The sequence below is a fragment of the Homo sapiens genome, chromosome 22 (assembly GCF_000001405.40).
Source record: "Homo sapiens chromosome 22, GRCh38.p14 Primary Assembly".
In the NCBI taxonomy this organism is placed as follows: domain Eukaryota; kingdom Metazoa; phylum Chordata; class Mammalia; order Primates; family Hominidae; genus Homo; species Homo sapiens.
In genome coordinates, this window is record NC_000022.11 from 30,882,025 (window position 1) to 30,897,424 (window position 15,400).

Genomic DNA, 15,400 nt, shown 5'->3' on the forward strand with positions numbered 1-15,400 from the left:
CCTAGGGACTTCCTGTCTCCCTGCTGCACGATGCCAGCTGGCCCTTTGGTAGCCTTGAGGGGGACTGAGGTCACTCACGGCCAGTGTATCAGCCAGCAACCCTGGCTGTGTGTACAAAGTCCTCAGCTGGGGCTAAGGGTGCTGGGAGGCCACCCCTTCTCCCTGAGGCTAGGGCTGGGCTCTGTTGCTTGGACAGGGTTATTCCCAGGCAGCCTGGTTAGTGAATATCTCCCAGGAACCTAGCTCCACACCAGGAAGGCTCTGGGATCCCACAACATCCCTGCCCTCAAGGGGCTCCCAGACGGCAATCAAGATTTGGCTTTACAAAGTAAACCCTAACAGCACTGGTTCCATACCCTGGGGGACATGCAGGTGAGATGCTCAGGGACTTGGATCCTGGCCCTACACACACCTCCTTGTGGCCTTGGGCGAGTCCCTCAGTCACCCTGAGCCTTCATTTCCTCCTCGGTCATGCACACTATAAAAAAAAAAAAAAAATCTACCTCAGTGCTTGTAAGAATGCCTGCAATGCCCTGCCCCACAGTGGGCCCGCGGTGTGAGGGAGGTGGGGCTGGCATCAGAATCAGCAGGAGGGTTTGAATTTGAGCCAGGGAAAGGCAAGAAGACAGGATACCTGGTGGGCCACACTCAGGGCCCTGGGAAGGAACGGAGCCCCAGGAGATGAGGCTGGAGAGGATTGGAAACCATTTTCTATGAGAGGCTATCAGCTGCCCGGATCTGTGGAAAAAACAAATACTCCATTTTCCCTTGAAGGAGAAAATAGTCATTTCTAAAGTATTAGAGTCCCTGTGAACAGCAAAGGTAGGAGGTAGGGGGCCTAATTCATCTTTGTTCTCTGGTCATCTTTCCCTCTTTGCTTTTGCTGCTGGGAAGCCCAGGCACCCTCAGATGTGAGTTTGTGGGAATTCTTACCATGACCTTTGGCTACTATTTTAAACTGCTGTTGTATGGCTCTTTCATAAGTCTTGTAAATGACATGAGGTATATGAAAACAAAGCACCCATCTATGTGAGAACTTGTGGATGGAGAGGATGATTCTGGGGGCTGTAGGAGACTGGCAGGAAGTGATGGTGCAGGGATGAGGGAGGGCGGGGCAGAGGCCTTGTGCAGCCAGATAGGCAAGAACCCAGAAAACCATGAAGCACCAATTCACTCTCACCATGCACAGCACAGCCCTGGCCTCTGCACCCCTACTTGCATCAGGCAGGCAAGGGGATCGTGCCTTGTGTGGAGGTGGCCCTGGGGCTAGACAGACCTGGGATCCCATCCTGTTCACCCTGTACTGACCCGATTAGCCCCTTCTCCCAGTCCCGGGATGCAGGGGACTTCCCTGAAGCAGCACCCAGGGAGATGAGGGTGTCCTTCCTCACTTGCACTCTGAGCCTTGAGACCAGCTCAGCAGAGCCTGGAGACCTGCATGGGCCAGGGTCAGCAGAGCAGCAGTGTCAGAGAGCCCATGAACAGGTGGCTGGAACCAAGACTAACTTGACAGAGCACTGGGCCAAGCTTAGGGCAATGTGGGGAGGAGGGCCTCCTGGGAGCTGCAGCCAGGTAGGATGTTAGAGCAAGCTCTCAGTTGAGGACCTGGGTTCTGGATCTGGCTCTGCCACCTCCTTGCTGGGTGCCCTCAGGGCTAGCTTTGCTGTCTTGGGATGGGGTGGGAGTCTCTGTCTACCCAACTCATGGGGCTTCTGTAAGGGTCTGGAACATTCCTGAGGCACCCAGAGGGATACCGTCCCCCTGCCTCCGCCACCGCCCTTACACCCACTGGCACAAAACCAGCAAAGAGGTGCCATCTGGTCTGGCTGCTGGGGCACATTGTCTCTGAGTCTGTTTTCAGGGTCCTCACTCTAAGGCCTACAGCAGTGAGAGAGGGACAGGGTTGTGGGTGAAGCAGGACGGCCGCTGTAGGACTCCAGGTGGTGAAAGGCTCGGCTCCCAGTCACAAGCCAGGGAGCAGTGGAGTCAGGCCTGGAGCTGCGTCTCCCAGGACTCACCCAGGCCCACTATGGGGTCTGCAAATTGTATGATGGACAGTGACTGCAGTCCCACACCCAAGGGACAGCCTTATAAGACCCATGAACTCAAAATAGCCCAGACCTTCAACACCCTGGACTCAGTCTCACACATCATCAGGATGAGGCGCATGAGATAAGGAGGTTTCTTTCTTTCCTCGAGGAGGCCTTTCCCCCTGCCTCAACCTGCAGGGAGGAGACCTTCATCTGTCCAATGGGGGTGACTGCACTCCTCCCACCTGGAGAATTTTGCCGGATGAGCGGAGACAGGGCAGCTTGTGGGCACAGCATCTGTCGGGCATCACCGTCTGTCTCACAGAGAGGATGTGGGCTCAGAGGGTCCAAGGGGCTTCTGCTGGAACCCAGGTTTTCCAACTCCTGATAGTGCACCCCTGGCCACCACACTCTGCTGGCTTCCTTGGGCAGGCCATGTTGCATCTCCAGGCCCCATTTCACATCTCTGGGATGAGGAGGCACACCTTGCCCTGCCCACCCTGTGTGGTGCTTGAGGGAGATGGGGGAGGGAAGGTGCCCAGAGGAGGGCTTGTTCAAGGAGTGGCATCCCTGGGGCAGGCTGGGGGCCCCTTTCCACCGAGCCAGGCCAGCCACGAGAGCTCGGGCTCTCCCTGTGGGGTGGGCGAGTCCCCAGGCAGGGTGCCCCAGTGCACAGCCTTGGGGAGCCTCCCACCCTTGGAGGTGTTCTCCTGAGGCCGCCTCAGGACACCCCCGTCTCGCTCCCACTGCTGTCAGTCCCACCCCCCGGTAGGTGTCACTTGGCAGCAAATGTCTGGGAGCAGCTGCTGATTCAGGGGCATTCCTGGCACAGTCGCTGGAGAGACCGACCCAATGGGCAGGCATCTGAGCGGTTCTGACTGAGGGGCAGGCCGTTGCCTGGGAGAGCGATGCTGCAGAGGTCTGAGGAGTGGTGGGAGTTAGTGGTTGTGGCCTGGGCACCAGGTGCCAGGGCAGATGCGGGAGGGGATCCATGAGGCACGTCTGTTGAGTGCTCCCTCGCCCTGCCTGCCACATCACCTCCTGATATTTCCTCAACAGCTGCCTTGTCCCTGTGTCACAGGTGAGGACTGGTGTGCCCATCTTCCTCCTTTGGGGTGGGACAGCCTGTGATGTGCATGGAGCTCAGTGGGTGCTCCAGGTCAGCTGGGGCAATTGGGTGGGGAGGAAGTGCTGGGGAGTGGCAGCTGGGGCCACTGATGCAGATGCGGGCCAAGGAAACGTCCCTTCCTACTGGCTTCAAGAATGTGTCCAGAAAGGGCAAATCCAGAGGTTCCTAGATTTGATCTCACTGCCCTCCAGGGACAGCTGAAGCCTGAGCCATCCTCTCCACTGTAATGACAGGGCAGAATGACCAACCCCTGCTTCAAAACTGGTGGTGGAACCATCTGTGGACCTGGGAAGCTGAAAAGATTCTGGATGTCTCAGTAGGCCACAAGCTTGAAGGGAAAACCTTAAAAGCAGTTATGTGATTCAGACTCTGATGTAGCTTGGTAGAAAGTGCCAGTCCCACTTCTGCCAGACAAGACCAATTACCTCTCTGAGCTGGGGAGGATAGCAGAACGTGGCTTTCCTTCCTTCTGTGCCACGGCCAGGGACTGGCCCAGGGTAGACAAGGGCCAGTGACAAACCTGAGGCCTAACACTGCAGGGAGGACGTGGCCGCAGAATGCTCGGGCCCTACCATAATGAGCAACAGCAGCCACCTCAGCTCCAGGCTGAACCAAACCAGCTGCTGCTGGGGAGGCAGCGTGCAGACCCGTGGCACCCAGGTTTGCTGTTCCCCAACTGGCATCCTGACCGTGGGAGGCCAACCAAGGTGGGTGCTGGTTGCTGGGCGGGCTCTGAGAAGGCCAGGGTTCCCACATCCCCAAGGAGGCCAAAGGGGGCAGTAAGCATGTTTGTGACCATCCCAGCAGAGGGGGCAGCTAGATGGCCCCCAGGGCCTTCTTCACTGCAGGTGTCAACAAAAACAGACTCTGCAAAATATTTGAAGAGATTTATTCTCAGCCAAATATGAGTGACCACAGCCATGACATAGCTCTTGGGAGGTCCTGAGAACATGTGCCCAAGGTGGTTGGGGCGCAGCTTGGTTTTATATATTTTAGGGAGGCATGAGGCAGCAATCAAATACATTTAAGAAATACATTGGTTTGGTTCAGAAAGGCGGGACAGCTCAAAAGCAAGGTGGGGAGGGGGCCTTCCAGGCTATAGGTAAATTTAAACATTTTCTGGTTGGCACTTGGTTGAGTTGTCTAAAGACCTGGGATCAATAGAAAGGAAATGTTCAGGTTAAGATGAAAGATTGTGGAGACCAAGGTTCTTTTTAAGTCTTATAGTGGCTCCCCTTGGAGACAATAGATGACAAATGTTTCCTAATCAGACCTTTAAAAAGGTGCTAAGACTCTTACTTCATCTCTTCAGGGTTGGGAGGGCCTGGAAGAAAACGATCTAGCTCTGTGAATAGAGATTCTTTACAGATGCACGTTTTCCCCCACAAAGGACAGCTTTGCAGGGCCACTTCAAAATATGGCAAAGAAGCATGTTTTGGGATGAAATACTTTTTCTTCCTTGACTCGTAATGTTATGCCAGAGTCAGGTTGGAAAGTAAGTCACGATATATAGGGCTAAATAAAGCCCATCTGATGAGAATGTATGGTTTTTAGGGCATGACTCCCCAGACGCCTTAGATAGGAATTTGGGCAAGATAAAAAATATCAGAGCTTAGTCCTCACAGGGAATGGAGGTGGGGGAGCAGATGTGTTATAGGAAAGGGGTCCTGATCCAGACCCCACGAGAGGGTTCTTGGATCTCACACAAGAAAGAATTCAAGGCGAGTCTGCTGTGCAAAGTGAGAGCAAGTTTATCAAGAAAGTAAAGGAATAAAAGAATGGCTACTCCATAGATAGAGCAGCCCCCGGGGCTGCTTGTTGCCCATTTTTATGGTTATTTCTTGCTGATATGCTAAACAAGGGGTGGATTATTCATGCCTCCCCTTTTTAGACCATAGAGGATGACTTCCTGATGTTGCCATGGCATCTGTGAACTGTGGCGCTGGTGGGAGTGTAGCAGTGAGGACGACCAGAGGTCACTCTCGTCGCCATTTTGGTTTTGATGGGTTTTGGCCGGCTCCTTTACTGCAACCTGTTTTATCAGCAAGGTCTTTATGACCTGTATTTTGTATCTCATCCTGTGACTTAGAATGCCTTAGCTGTCTGGGAATGCAGCCCAGTAGGTTTCAGCCTCATCTTACCCAGCTCCTGTTTAAGGTGGAGTTGCTCTGGTTCACATGCCTCTGACAGATGGGCCCCTGCCAGAGGCCAGGGTCTCATACCGCCACTCCTCCCTCCCCAGGCCTGCAGGGACTTCTTGGAACTAGCAGAGATACACAGTCGGAAATGGCAGCGGGCACTGCAGTATGAGCAGGAGCAGCGCGTGCACTTGGAGGAAACCATTGAGCAGCTGGCGAAGCAGCACAACAGCCTCGAGCGGGCCTTCCACAGTGCCCCTGGCCGGCCGGCCAACCCCTCCAAGAGCTTCATTGAGGGTGAGTGGGCAGCCAGGGCAGGGCTGTCCCATGACCTTCTGCCAGCTGGCTCTGCATACACAACTTCTGCGCCCCCACATGCACATCCCTGGCTGTGCCCACATGTGGGCTGGCCTTGGCCAACTCTTGACTGCCTCTTCGTGGTTTTGTATCTCCCATGTCCATCACCCACTGGCAACAGTTTGTCTGCACCTAGGTTCACATTCTCAAGAGTTAAATTTAATGAGCCCAGCTGTCCCCTGTGTGACAGGGGTGTCCTGGTGCCAGGTGGCCACCCACCTAGCCTTGGGTTGGGGGTCATGGGGACCCTGGACAGGGGTCCATCAGAAAGGGAAGCTGGGCCACAGAAAGACTGACCCACATGTTGAGAGATCGGGGGGGCTTCCAGAAAGAGGCTCCTGTGCGGTGAATGCGTTGAAAGCACATGATTCTAGCAGAGGGAGCAAGGGTGGCCGCAGCCCAGGGAATCAGGGCTGCCCAGGTGACTGAAGCAGGAGGGGAGTGAGGCCAGATGGGGGTTGGGGGAGCCCTTGGCTCTGGACTTAGGGAGGCGAGATTGAGCCTTTTGTGAGGTTACAAATTAAAGCTCTGTCTGTGTCTCTAGGAAGCCTCTTGACTCCCAAAGGAGAGGACAGTGAGGAAGATGAAGATACCGAGTACTTTGATGCCATGGAAGACTCCACATCCTTCATCACCGTGATCACCGAGGCCAAGGAAGACAGGTAAGGTGGCTGCAGCTGGGCAGAGCCTCCCCCACCCTGGTCTTAGGCTGCATCTGGTCTTTTCACCAGCTATCTAGTTGTCTACTTGGGGTTTTCTTTCCTTTAAATCTTGCTTTGGCCAGGCCCAGTGGCTCCCAGCACTTTGGGAGGCCAAGGGTAAGAAGATTGCTTGAATACAAGAGTTTGAGACCAGCCTGGGCAACATGGCGAAACCCTGTCTCTACAAAAAATACAAAAACTAGCCAGGCATGGTAGTGCAGGCCTGTAGTCCCAGCTACTTGGGAGGCTGAAGTGGGAGGGTCGCTTGAGCCCAGGGAGGTGGAGGCTGCAGTGAGCCATGGTCATGCCACTGCACTCTAGCCTGGGCAACAGAGAGACCCTGTCTCAAAAAATCAATAATCTATCGGTCTTGCTCCAGATGGGATTTCATTGTTGTGTGAGCCTCATAGAGTATACTTACACAAACCTAGCTGATAGAGCCTGCCACACACCTGGGCTATATGGCACAGCCTATAGCTCCTGGGCTACAAACCTGTACAACATGTGACTGTACTGAATATTGTAGGCAATTGTGACACAATGGTTAAGGATTTGTGTATCTAAACATAGAAAAGGTATATTAAAAATACGATATGATAGTCTTATGGGACCACTGTCATATACACTATCCACCCTTGAAATGTTGTTATTGCGGTGCCTGTCTACACACAGAACACACGGCAGTGACCAGGACATTTACTAGCAATGAAAATGATGTTGTCTGGAGAGAGGATGGGCCAGGTCCCAAGGAGACCTCGGGATTCATTAGTAACTTGCCTCCCGCTTTGTATTTCCAGCAGAAAAGCTGAAGGTAGCACCGGGACAAGTTCCGTGGACTGGAGCTCAGCAGACAATGTAAGTGAGGGGGAGCACTGTAAGGGCCAGAAGGCAGCTTCTGGCCTAGGGGGTGGGAGGGACAGGCCAGCACCAAGAACTGGGGGCCAGCAGGCAGGCCCATGCCCCAGTCCAGGAGCACCATCCTGGCCTTCCACCAGCAGCGTACCAGTGGCCGGCTTGGTGCCAGTCCTCAGGGTGGAGGGCAGAAACTTGGAAGCCAAGGGGGCGCTCTGGCCTCTGCTGACGGTGAGGGGGTCCCCACTTATGTGGCAGGTACTAGATGGTGCCTCGCTCGTGCCCAAGGGTTCATCCAAAGTCAAGAGGCGAGTCCGCATTCCCAACAAGCCCAACTACAGCCTTAACCTCTGGAGCATCATGAAGAACTGCATCGGCCGGGAGCTCTCCAGGATCCCCATGCCGGTGGGTGGCTCGGGCAGGGCAGCCCCGACAGGTCCTCTGGGGCTGCTTTCCTGTGCGTGGATGAGCAGTAATGGCCTGTGTGAAGTACACACAGCCTTGGAGTGTCATTTTCTTAACGGCACCTGAGGAGCATGTAACTAATTATCTAATCGTGCACATAGGCATTGCCCAATCTTCCAAAGTACAGGGATCTTTGGGCTCTGACAGGAGGAGCCAGGGAGAAGCTCTGCATGGATCAGCAACCTGGGGAGCCCCAGAGCACCTCTGGATCTCACAGGACCTTACCATGTCCCAGCTGTCCCGATCTGTAGATGGGGAGTGGCAGGATGGGGCTGTGTGTGGAGGGGTGGGCCCTCCTTCAGCTGGCAGCCATCCCTGGTGCCATCCCCAGGAAATGCAGGCTCAGAGCTTGGATCCTCATGCCACCTGGCTACAGTGGCATCTCCACTAGGCCAGACGGTTCTGCTGTGTGACCCAGAACAAGTTCCTTCACATCTCCAGCCTCTGTGTCCACATGTGTAGGGTGGGGAGAAACACAGCGTCCTCTTCAGTGTCTGGGAGGATGGAGCAAGATAACACGAGGAAGCTGAGACTCGTACCCGATGGCATCATGGTGGGGAGAGTGACCCTGCCCTATGTGACACCGAGATAGGGGCCTTGGGCCTAACCCATCCTGTGCCGGGCCCCATCACAGCTCGCAACATGGGGAAGACCCACTTCCTCCACCCACAGACTCATGTGCCCATTCAGTCACTGCTTCCTAAGATTCTGCACTCAAGATACAGCAGTGGGCCAGGCAGAACCCCTGGCCTTGGTGGGTGTCCATCCGAGCAGAGGAGAGCAACAGTGAACATGATAAAAGTGTGTAGGATGCAGCAGACCAGAAAGTGGGAAGGGCTGTGGAGAAAACAGCCAGGAGGGGCCAGGGAGGTGATGGCTTGGGGGCCACACTGTTGGACAGGGCCATCTGAGGAGCCTCACTGTGAAGGTGCTGTCTGAGCAGGGATGTCCCTGAACATCCGAGAAAAGCAAGGGCACCATGCCAAGCCGGGGCTGGTGCCCAGCCTGACCACCCACCTGTCCACCCACAGGTGAACTTCAATGAGCCCCTGTCCATGCTCCAGCGGCTGACAGAGGACCTGGAGTACCACCACCTGCTGGACAAGGCAGTGCACTGCACCAGCTCAGTGGAGCAGATGTGCCTGGTGGCCGCCTTCTCTGTGTCCTCCTACTCCACCACAGTGCACCGCATCGCCAAGCCCTTCAACCCCATGCTGGGGGAGACCTTCGAGCTGGACCGCCTCGACGACATGGGCCTGCGCTCCCTCTGTGAGCAGGTGAGGGGGCTAGGCTGGCACTGGGTGGCGCCCACCCACACTCTGGCCAAGCTGTTCCTGCCAGGCCCAAGGTGACAAATGGGAGGCAGCGTCTGTCTGACCCTGACTGCCCATACCCAAGGGGCCATCAAGCTGAGGTCCAGCCAGGGAGCAGGGCCTTCCATGGCAGGGGCAGGCACACGGCCTCCTGGAGATGGCGAGGGGCATGAGAACTCAGCTTGGTGAGGACAAGGTCAGGCCTGGTTGCAGGGAGCGGGAGGATAAGCTCCAGTCCAGGGTGTTGTGGAGCAGAGGTGGAGGGGCATCTGTGGGCACTGCTGGGGAGGAGCATGGGGTCACTACCGAGCTGAAGGCGGCTGGCAGGAGGAGCCTGGGTGCGGTGGGATGGACTCTGCCCCAGCCAGTGACAGCAGCCTGTCCCCACCACCCCTTCCCCACAGAGATATGCCAAGACCCAGGCCCAGGAGCCTCAGCAGTGGCAGCCCCATGCTGAACCTGGGCGTCCTGGTTGGAAACGAGGTGATTCTGTTGGTGCTGGCGTTGCCCTGGCTCCTGGCATGAGTGTGGGATGCTGGCCATTCACAGACCCTGCTGCTAGTTGAAGAGGCTGCAGCTGCTGCAAGGCCCCGTTAGGAGGTGGCTGCAGTGACACACGCAGGGGTGTGGTGGCCAGACCTGGGGGAAGGGGGAGGCCAGAACACAGGCAGCTTTTGAAGGATGAGCCAGCTGGTTTGCCGACGCTTTGGATACGGGGGTGGGGGGCAGTCAGGGTGATCTTGGGTCCTTGGCCTGAACCCTGGAGTGAATGTATTTCTCCACTTAGCAGACATTAGGTGCCCTCGACATGCCAGGTGCTGCTCAGACATGGAGGTTTCAGCTGGGAAGTGAACAGACACGGCTCTGGTTCTCATGGGGCTGGGAAAGCAAGGCAGATACTGTGGCTGCTTCCAGCTCTTTTAGAAAGGGGGTGGTCAGGGAGCAGCTTTGCTGATGCAGAAAGAGTGAGGGGAGGAAAGGAAAGGAGGGTGAAGAAGCAGCAGCTGGAGGGCGGTGCACCCCGGGTGGGGCCTGCCTCCTGACCTGCCAGAGGAACCCTCCACTGCGATGGAGGGAGTGGCCCACAGGGAAGCCTGGGGAGATGGAGGTGGGAGTGGAGGGGGCAGATGCTGGATGCGATTTGAAGGAAGGGCAGGAAGGGTTTGCTTAGGGTTAGAGGAGGAGCATGAGGAGGGCCAGAGAGGCTGCAGAGCGTTTGGTGTGAGCAGCTGGAAGGGCAGGATGCTGAGGTATAGGCGAGGAGGAGGCAGAGCTTCCTATGGGCTCCTTGGGGAGGGATCAGCTGAGCTCAGGGCCAGCTAACCCATCTCCTGGGGCATAGGAAGCAAGTGGGCACCTCTTACAGAGACAGGAAGTGAGGCGAGGCACACTGCGGGCAGCGGGATCCCGGCTCTGCCTGTCTGAGGGGAGATGAGATGTCCAAGGGCAGCTGGAGGCCAGGGGCAGGGCTAGGCTAGGGCTGCTGTCCTGGGGAGTGGGTAGACTTAGGAGAGGGAAGCCTGGGCCCCACAGCCAGAGCAGCATGGAATAAGGAAGAACAGACAAGGGAGGCTTGGTGGAACTGCCAGCAAGGCAGGGGAGGGCCGGGCCCGGGGCAGTGCATCGATGTGGATGCCTGCTCTGGAGCCAGGCTGGCCAGAGGCAGGGCCCGACTGCCCCTTGGCTAAAATCACTCTGCCAGTCTGGGCCCCCTTGGTATAACATGGCACAGCAGACACACCTGGTGTGTGGGGAGGATTAGATGAGAAGTGGACATGGAACCTTCGGCATAGTGTGACACCCTTTATCAGCCCTCAGTGCACCTGTCACAGACATGTCTTTGAGCATGAGGTCCACCATCACCCCTATTTCACAGCCCAGGAGCCAGGCACTGAGAGGCTCAGGACAGCACCCGGATGCTTTTCTGCTCAAGGCAGTGCCTTCCTGGGGGCCTGCCTTGGGTCCATGGCCACCTGAGGAACAGCCAGGACTGCTCCTATGGCCACAGAGCTGTGCCTGCTGAGGCAGGGCAAGCTGTCCCTCCCTGGCTGGGGCAAGTGGAACCTGGGCTCATGTCTGGCAGATGCTCACATCCTATGGGTCTGGTCTCAGGTGAGCCACCACCCCCCCTCAGCTGCGCACTACGTGTTCTCCAAGCATGGCTGGAGCCTCTGGCAGGAGATCACCATCTCCAGCAAGTTCCGGGGAAAATACATCTCCATCATGCCGCTAGGTGAGCTGGGGCCCGGTGCCTTCCTGGGACACAGAGACATTGTGCATAAGAGGGAGGATTCTGGTGATGCAAAAGCCAGCTGGGGGCTTCCAAGGGAGACCTCCCTGTAGGCCTGCCTCTTCAACCCCCCAGCCTAGTTCTCAAGACACCAGGCCTAAGGGCAGACTGGCCAGAGCCCTGCATGGGGGGGCATGACCTCTGACCTGTCCCCTGCCTCCAGGTGCCATCCACTTAGAATTCCAGGCCAGTGGGAATCACTACGTGTGGAGGAAGAGCACCTCAACTGTTCACAACATCATCGTGGGCAAGCTCTGGATCGACCAGGTCAGGGGCGCCCTTGGGGAGGGGGTGCATGGCCCGGGGGCTGGCCGCTGACCACTGCCCTCCTTCGCCAGTCAGGGGACATCGAGATTGTGAACCATAAGACCAATGACCGGTGCCAGCTGAAGTTCCTGCCCTACAGCTACTTCTCCAAAGAGGCAGCCCGGAAGGTAAGCAGGACCAGCCACCTCTAAGCACCCCAGGGGGCCCAGGGCAGAGTCTGCACCTACGCTGGTCCTGCCAATGTCCACAGGTGACAGGAGTGGTGAGTGACAGCCAGGGCAAGGCCCATTACGTGCTGTCCGGCTCGTGGGATGAACAAATGGAGTGCTCCAAGGTCATGCATAGCAGTCCCAGCAGCCCCAGCTCTGACGGGAAGCAGAAGACAGTGTACCAGACCCTGTCAGCCAAGCTGCTGTGGAAGAAGTACCCGCTGCCGTGAGTAGGGCTGGCAGGGGCCCCGCCACAGGCAAAGGAGAGGGAAGGAGGACAGTGGACAGAAAGCAACTGACAGGCACAGGAGGTCGGGAGGGTTCAGTCCACACATGGGCAGAGAACAGTATTATGCAGCCGACATCCCAGTGTGAAGGCAGACACCGAACAGTAAATAAATGTGAAACTATCAAACACTATGCACAGACTTTAAGCGAGGTGATAGGACAGAGCCCCTCCCTGTTCCTCCCTACAAGAAATAAAAAACATACTTGAAAATAACCACAGGAAATAGAAAACTATAAAATGTGGCATAGGAAAGTCCAAAGAGAACAAATAGAAATTCGACAAAGGGAAAAAAAAATGACTGACATTGAGAACCCTGTGGAATGGTTTAGTAGCTAGAATCTATCACCTGAACACAGGTCAGAAGAAGTGACAGAACTGCATTTAAAGAGACAAAACCCAGAAAAGACAGGAAGCTACAGGGAGAAGACAGAGTGAGGTCCCTGGAGCAGGCTCCCTGGCCTCTCCTGGGAGCGAGTTTGAGTGCAGTCTCCCGTCAGACCTCCTGCAATGGAATCTGCATTTCTGTAAGCTTGCTCAGCAAGATTGAGAGCAGGGTTTGGCATTTCTAGCGAGAGTCCCAAAAGGAAAGAGGGACTGTACCTGAAGATAAAAATAACAAAGAAATTCCTGCACCTAAATCTATGCAGTGAAACTAAATCAGAGAGAAACTATTAAGCAGCCAGATTTTAAAAAGACATCACTTTCCGAGGAGCTGTCCCCTTATCAACAGAAATGGGAGCTTGAAGACAGTCAAATGATATCTTCCGTGAGTTGAAAGATGCACTGCCAGCCTAGAATTATACACCCAGGGAGACCATCTTTAAAGAATGAAGGTGAAATCAAGGCATTTTCAGGCAAACAAAAAGCTTACTTTGGCACCAGCAGACCTGCACAAAAGGATATACCTCAGGCAGGAGGAAACTGACCCCAGAGGGAAGATCTGAGAATAACGGATACTGTGCACCTAAATTAAAGCTGAATAAACAAGAATAACGTGGGGTACAACATTTTAGAATGTGGCTGCACAGTACGAAGAGGAATGAAGGGAGGGAAACTGCTCAAAGGCCCCCCCGCCATGCTGCCCTGGAAGAGGATCAAGATGCACATTCGCTTCTGAGTGTATGAAGTATGTTTATTGCGATTCCTAGGGTAACCGCTAAAATAACCCATTTAGCTGGAATCCCAGAAGGAAAGAAGAAGAAGAAGAAAAAAAACAAAGAGGGAGATAAAATGAAGATAAATTTCCCAAAGTAAAAGCAAAGAGATGAAAGACCCTGTACTGAAAGGGCCTATAGCGTGCTGAAGACAAGAAATAAAGAAAAATGTTCATCTAGATCATGCTATAGTCAAAATGAAGACCGAAGAAAAAATTCTAATAGCTTCCAGGGAGGAGCAAAAGATTTTAGTCAAGGATAAAGAATTAGACATCAGATTTTTCAATAACCAACATTGGATTAATATTTTCTAAGTTAGAAAATTCTACTTTCTAATTTTGTATCTAGTCAAACTGACATTCACATATGGGGCCATATCCTTAGGCACGCAGCCTCGGAAGTTTTGCCACACAAAAACCCACAATGAAAACAGTATTGGGCCTGGTGTGGTGGCTCACGCCTGTAATCCCAACACTTTGGGAGGCCGAGGCAAGCAGATCACTTGAGGTTAGGAGTTCAAGACTACCCTGGCCAACATGGAGAAACCCCGTCTCTACTAAAATACAAAAATTAGCCAGGCATGGTGGCACGCACCTGTAATCCCAGCTACTCAGGAGGCTGAGGCATGAGAATCACTTGAATCTGGGAGGCAGAGGTTGCAGTGAGCCGAGATCGTGCCACTGCACTCTAGCCTGGGAGGAAAAAAAAAAATGAAAACAGTATTGGACACAGTACTTTAAAGGGGAGGATGGGGGGAGCAAGGATGTCACAATAGATGAATAAAGGGGTTTTGTTTGTTTTTTTGTTGTTGTTTGTTTTGAGATGGAGTCTCACTCTGTCGCCCAGGCTAGAGTGCAGTGGCATGATCTTGGCTCACTGCAACCTCTGCCTCCCAGGTTCAAGCGATTCTCCTGTCTCAGTCTTCCGAGTAGCTGAGATTACAGGGGCATGCTACTGTGCTCGCCTAATTTTTGTATTTTTAGTAAAGACGGGGTTTCACCATGTTGGCCAAGCTGGTCTTGAACTCCTGACCTCAAGTGATCGGCACACCTCGGCCTCCCAAAGTGCTAGGATTACAGGTGTGAGCCACCACACCCAGCCTAAAAGTTATTTTTTAAACAACTACTAGGATCAAAGAAAAAGAGAAAACATGCTCATAATAATGCAGATTTAAAAGTTTAGATAATCTTAGCATGATGGAATTTGAGGAGAAGGGGAAGGATCTGAGGGATGTGAAGAAATGCTAAGTTCTTATTGGAAGGAAGAAACATTTATAAGACTGTTAAAATGGTAAGAGAAAATTAAAAAGTAGCACAAACAAAAACTATAAATTAACATGATAGCAATAGGCCCAAGCATTATCAATGATTATAATAAATATAAATAGATGAAGCTCACCAGTTAAAAAGCAAACTACTGGCAAACTGGATTTTTTTTTTTTTTTTAAGAGACAGAGTCTCGCTCTGTTACCCAGGCTGGTATCCAGTGGCACGATCACAGCTCACTGCAGCCTCAAACACCCAGGTTCAAGTGATCCTCACCTCACACTCCTGAATAGCTAGGACTACAGGCATGCACCACCATGCCTGGCTAATTTTTAAAAATTTTTTATAGAGACAGGGTGTCACTATGTTGCTCTGTCTGATTTCAAACTCCTGGCCTCAAGTGATCCTCCAGCCTCAGCCTCTCAAAGTGCTGGGATTATAGGCACAAGCCACCATGCCCGGCCTAACTGGATGTGTTAAAATCCAGATACCCAGACCTTCTAAGAGGTTCCCAAAATATAAAGGTATATAAAAGTTGAAATTAAAAGACACATATCATGAAAATACTAACAAAAAGCTATAATAGCTATATTAATATCAGGTAAAATAGACTTTAGGACAAAAGCATTATTAAGGAAGGGAAAGTTGCTATAATAATAAAAGGTTGAGTTAATCAAAAAGATATAATAGTTTTAAACATTATGCATATAATTAAATTCCTCAAAAATAGACAAAGCACATATTGATACTTAAGGAAGAAATTGATAAATCCATCACCACAGTGGGAAATTAGGAAGTTTCTGTACACCTCTTTCACTTGTTGATAGGTCAAATGGAAACAATAAACAATCCAGCAAGTATATGGAGATCCAAACAATATATGCTATTACCGACTCATGGATGCAACTCTGAGAACATATTTTTTCTCAAGTATACATGGA

The 15,400-nt window shown here is 53.2% G+C and overlaps 1 protein-coding gene and 1 long non-coding RNA gene across 7 annotated transcripts in view, besides 4 other annotated features; one reads left to right on the forward strand and one right to left on the reverse strand.

Annotated features, from left to right (window-relative positions):
• OSBP2 (oxysterol binding protein 2) overlaps positions 1–15,400 on the forward strand; it is a 214,032-nt gene that overhangs the window by 188,243 nt on the left and 10,389 nt on the right. For 4 of the 6 annotated variants that reach the window (NM_001282738.2, NM_001282739.2, NM_001282740.2 and 1 more), the window contains 9 exons: positions 5,402–5,594; positions 6,199–6,316; positions 7,156–7,210; positions 7,466–7,612; positions 8,704–8,949; positions 11,098–11,218; positions 11,439–11,542; positions 11,614–11,709; positions 11,793–11,977. In NM_001282738.2, coding sequence (NP_001269667.1) covers positions 5,402–5,594; positions 6,199–6,316; positions 7,156–7,210; positions 7,466–7,612; positions 8,704–8,949; positions 11,098–11,218; positions 11,439–11,542; positions 11,614–11,709; positions 11,793–11,977 — 1,265 coding nt within the window. Of the gene's footprint in view, positions 1–5,401; positions 5,595–6,198; positions 6,317–7,152; positions 7,211–7,465; positions 7,613–8,703; positions 8,950–11,097; positions 11,219–11,438; positions 11,543–11,613; positions 11,710–11,792; positions 11,978–15,400 lie in introns of all 6 variants that reach the window. The other 2 variants (NM_030758.4, NM_001282741.2) reach the window with 1 other exon arrangement.
• Positions 1,128–1,411: an origin of replication, noted in NCBI's record as "ori2p amplicon; peak of nascent strand synthesis determined by quantitative PCR of size-fractionated nascent DNA". NCBI's record gives the evidence for it as "EXISTENCE:fractionation evidence [ECO:0000100][PMID:17668008]".
• Positions 3,988–4,685: an enhancer, noted in NCBI's record as "NANOG-H3K4me1 hESC enhancer chr22:31281999-31282696 (GRCh37/hg19 assembly coordinates)". NCBI's record gives its function as "activates a minimal SCP1, AML or CMV promoter by ChIP-STARR-seq in primed H9 embryonic stem cells {active_cell/tissue: H9 hESC(primed)}" and the evidence as "EXISTENCE:reporter gene assay evidence [ECO:0000049][PMID:30033119]".
• LOC107985544 (uncharacterized) overlaps positions 4,032–15,400 on the reverse strand; it is a 35,724-nt gene continuing 24,355 nt past the window's right edge. Inside the window, exon 3 of the long non-coding RNA NR_146603.1 lies at positions 4,032–8,166. This is a non-coding gene — a long non-coding RNA (uncharacterized LOC107985544). The remainder of the gene's footprint in view (positions 8,167–15,400) is intronic.
• Positions 10,966–11,541: an enhancer, noted in NCBI's record as "H3K4me1 hESC enhancer chr22:31288977-31289552 (GRCh37/hg19 assembly coordinates)". NCBI's record gives its function as "activates a minimal SCP1, AML or CMV promoter by ChIP-STARR-seq in primed H9 embryonic stem cells {active_cell/tissue: H9 hESC(primed)}" and the evidence as "EXISTENCE:reporter gene assay evidence [ECO:0000049][PMID:30033119]".
• Positions 11,542–12,117: an enhancer, noted in NCBI's record as "H3K4me1 hESC enhancer chr22:31289553-31290128 (GRCh37/hg19 assembly coordinates)". NCBI's record gives its function as "activates a minimal SCP1, AML or CMV promoter by ChIP-STARR-seq in naive and primed H9 embryonic stem cells {active_cell/tissue: H9 hESC(naive and primed)}" and the evidence as "EXISTENCE:reporter gene assay evidence [ECO:0000049][PMID:30033119]".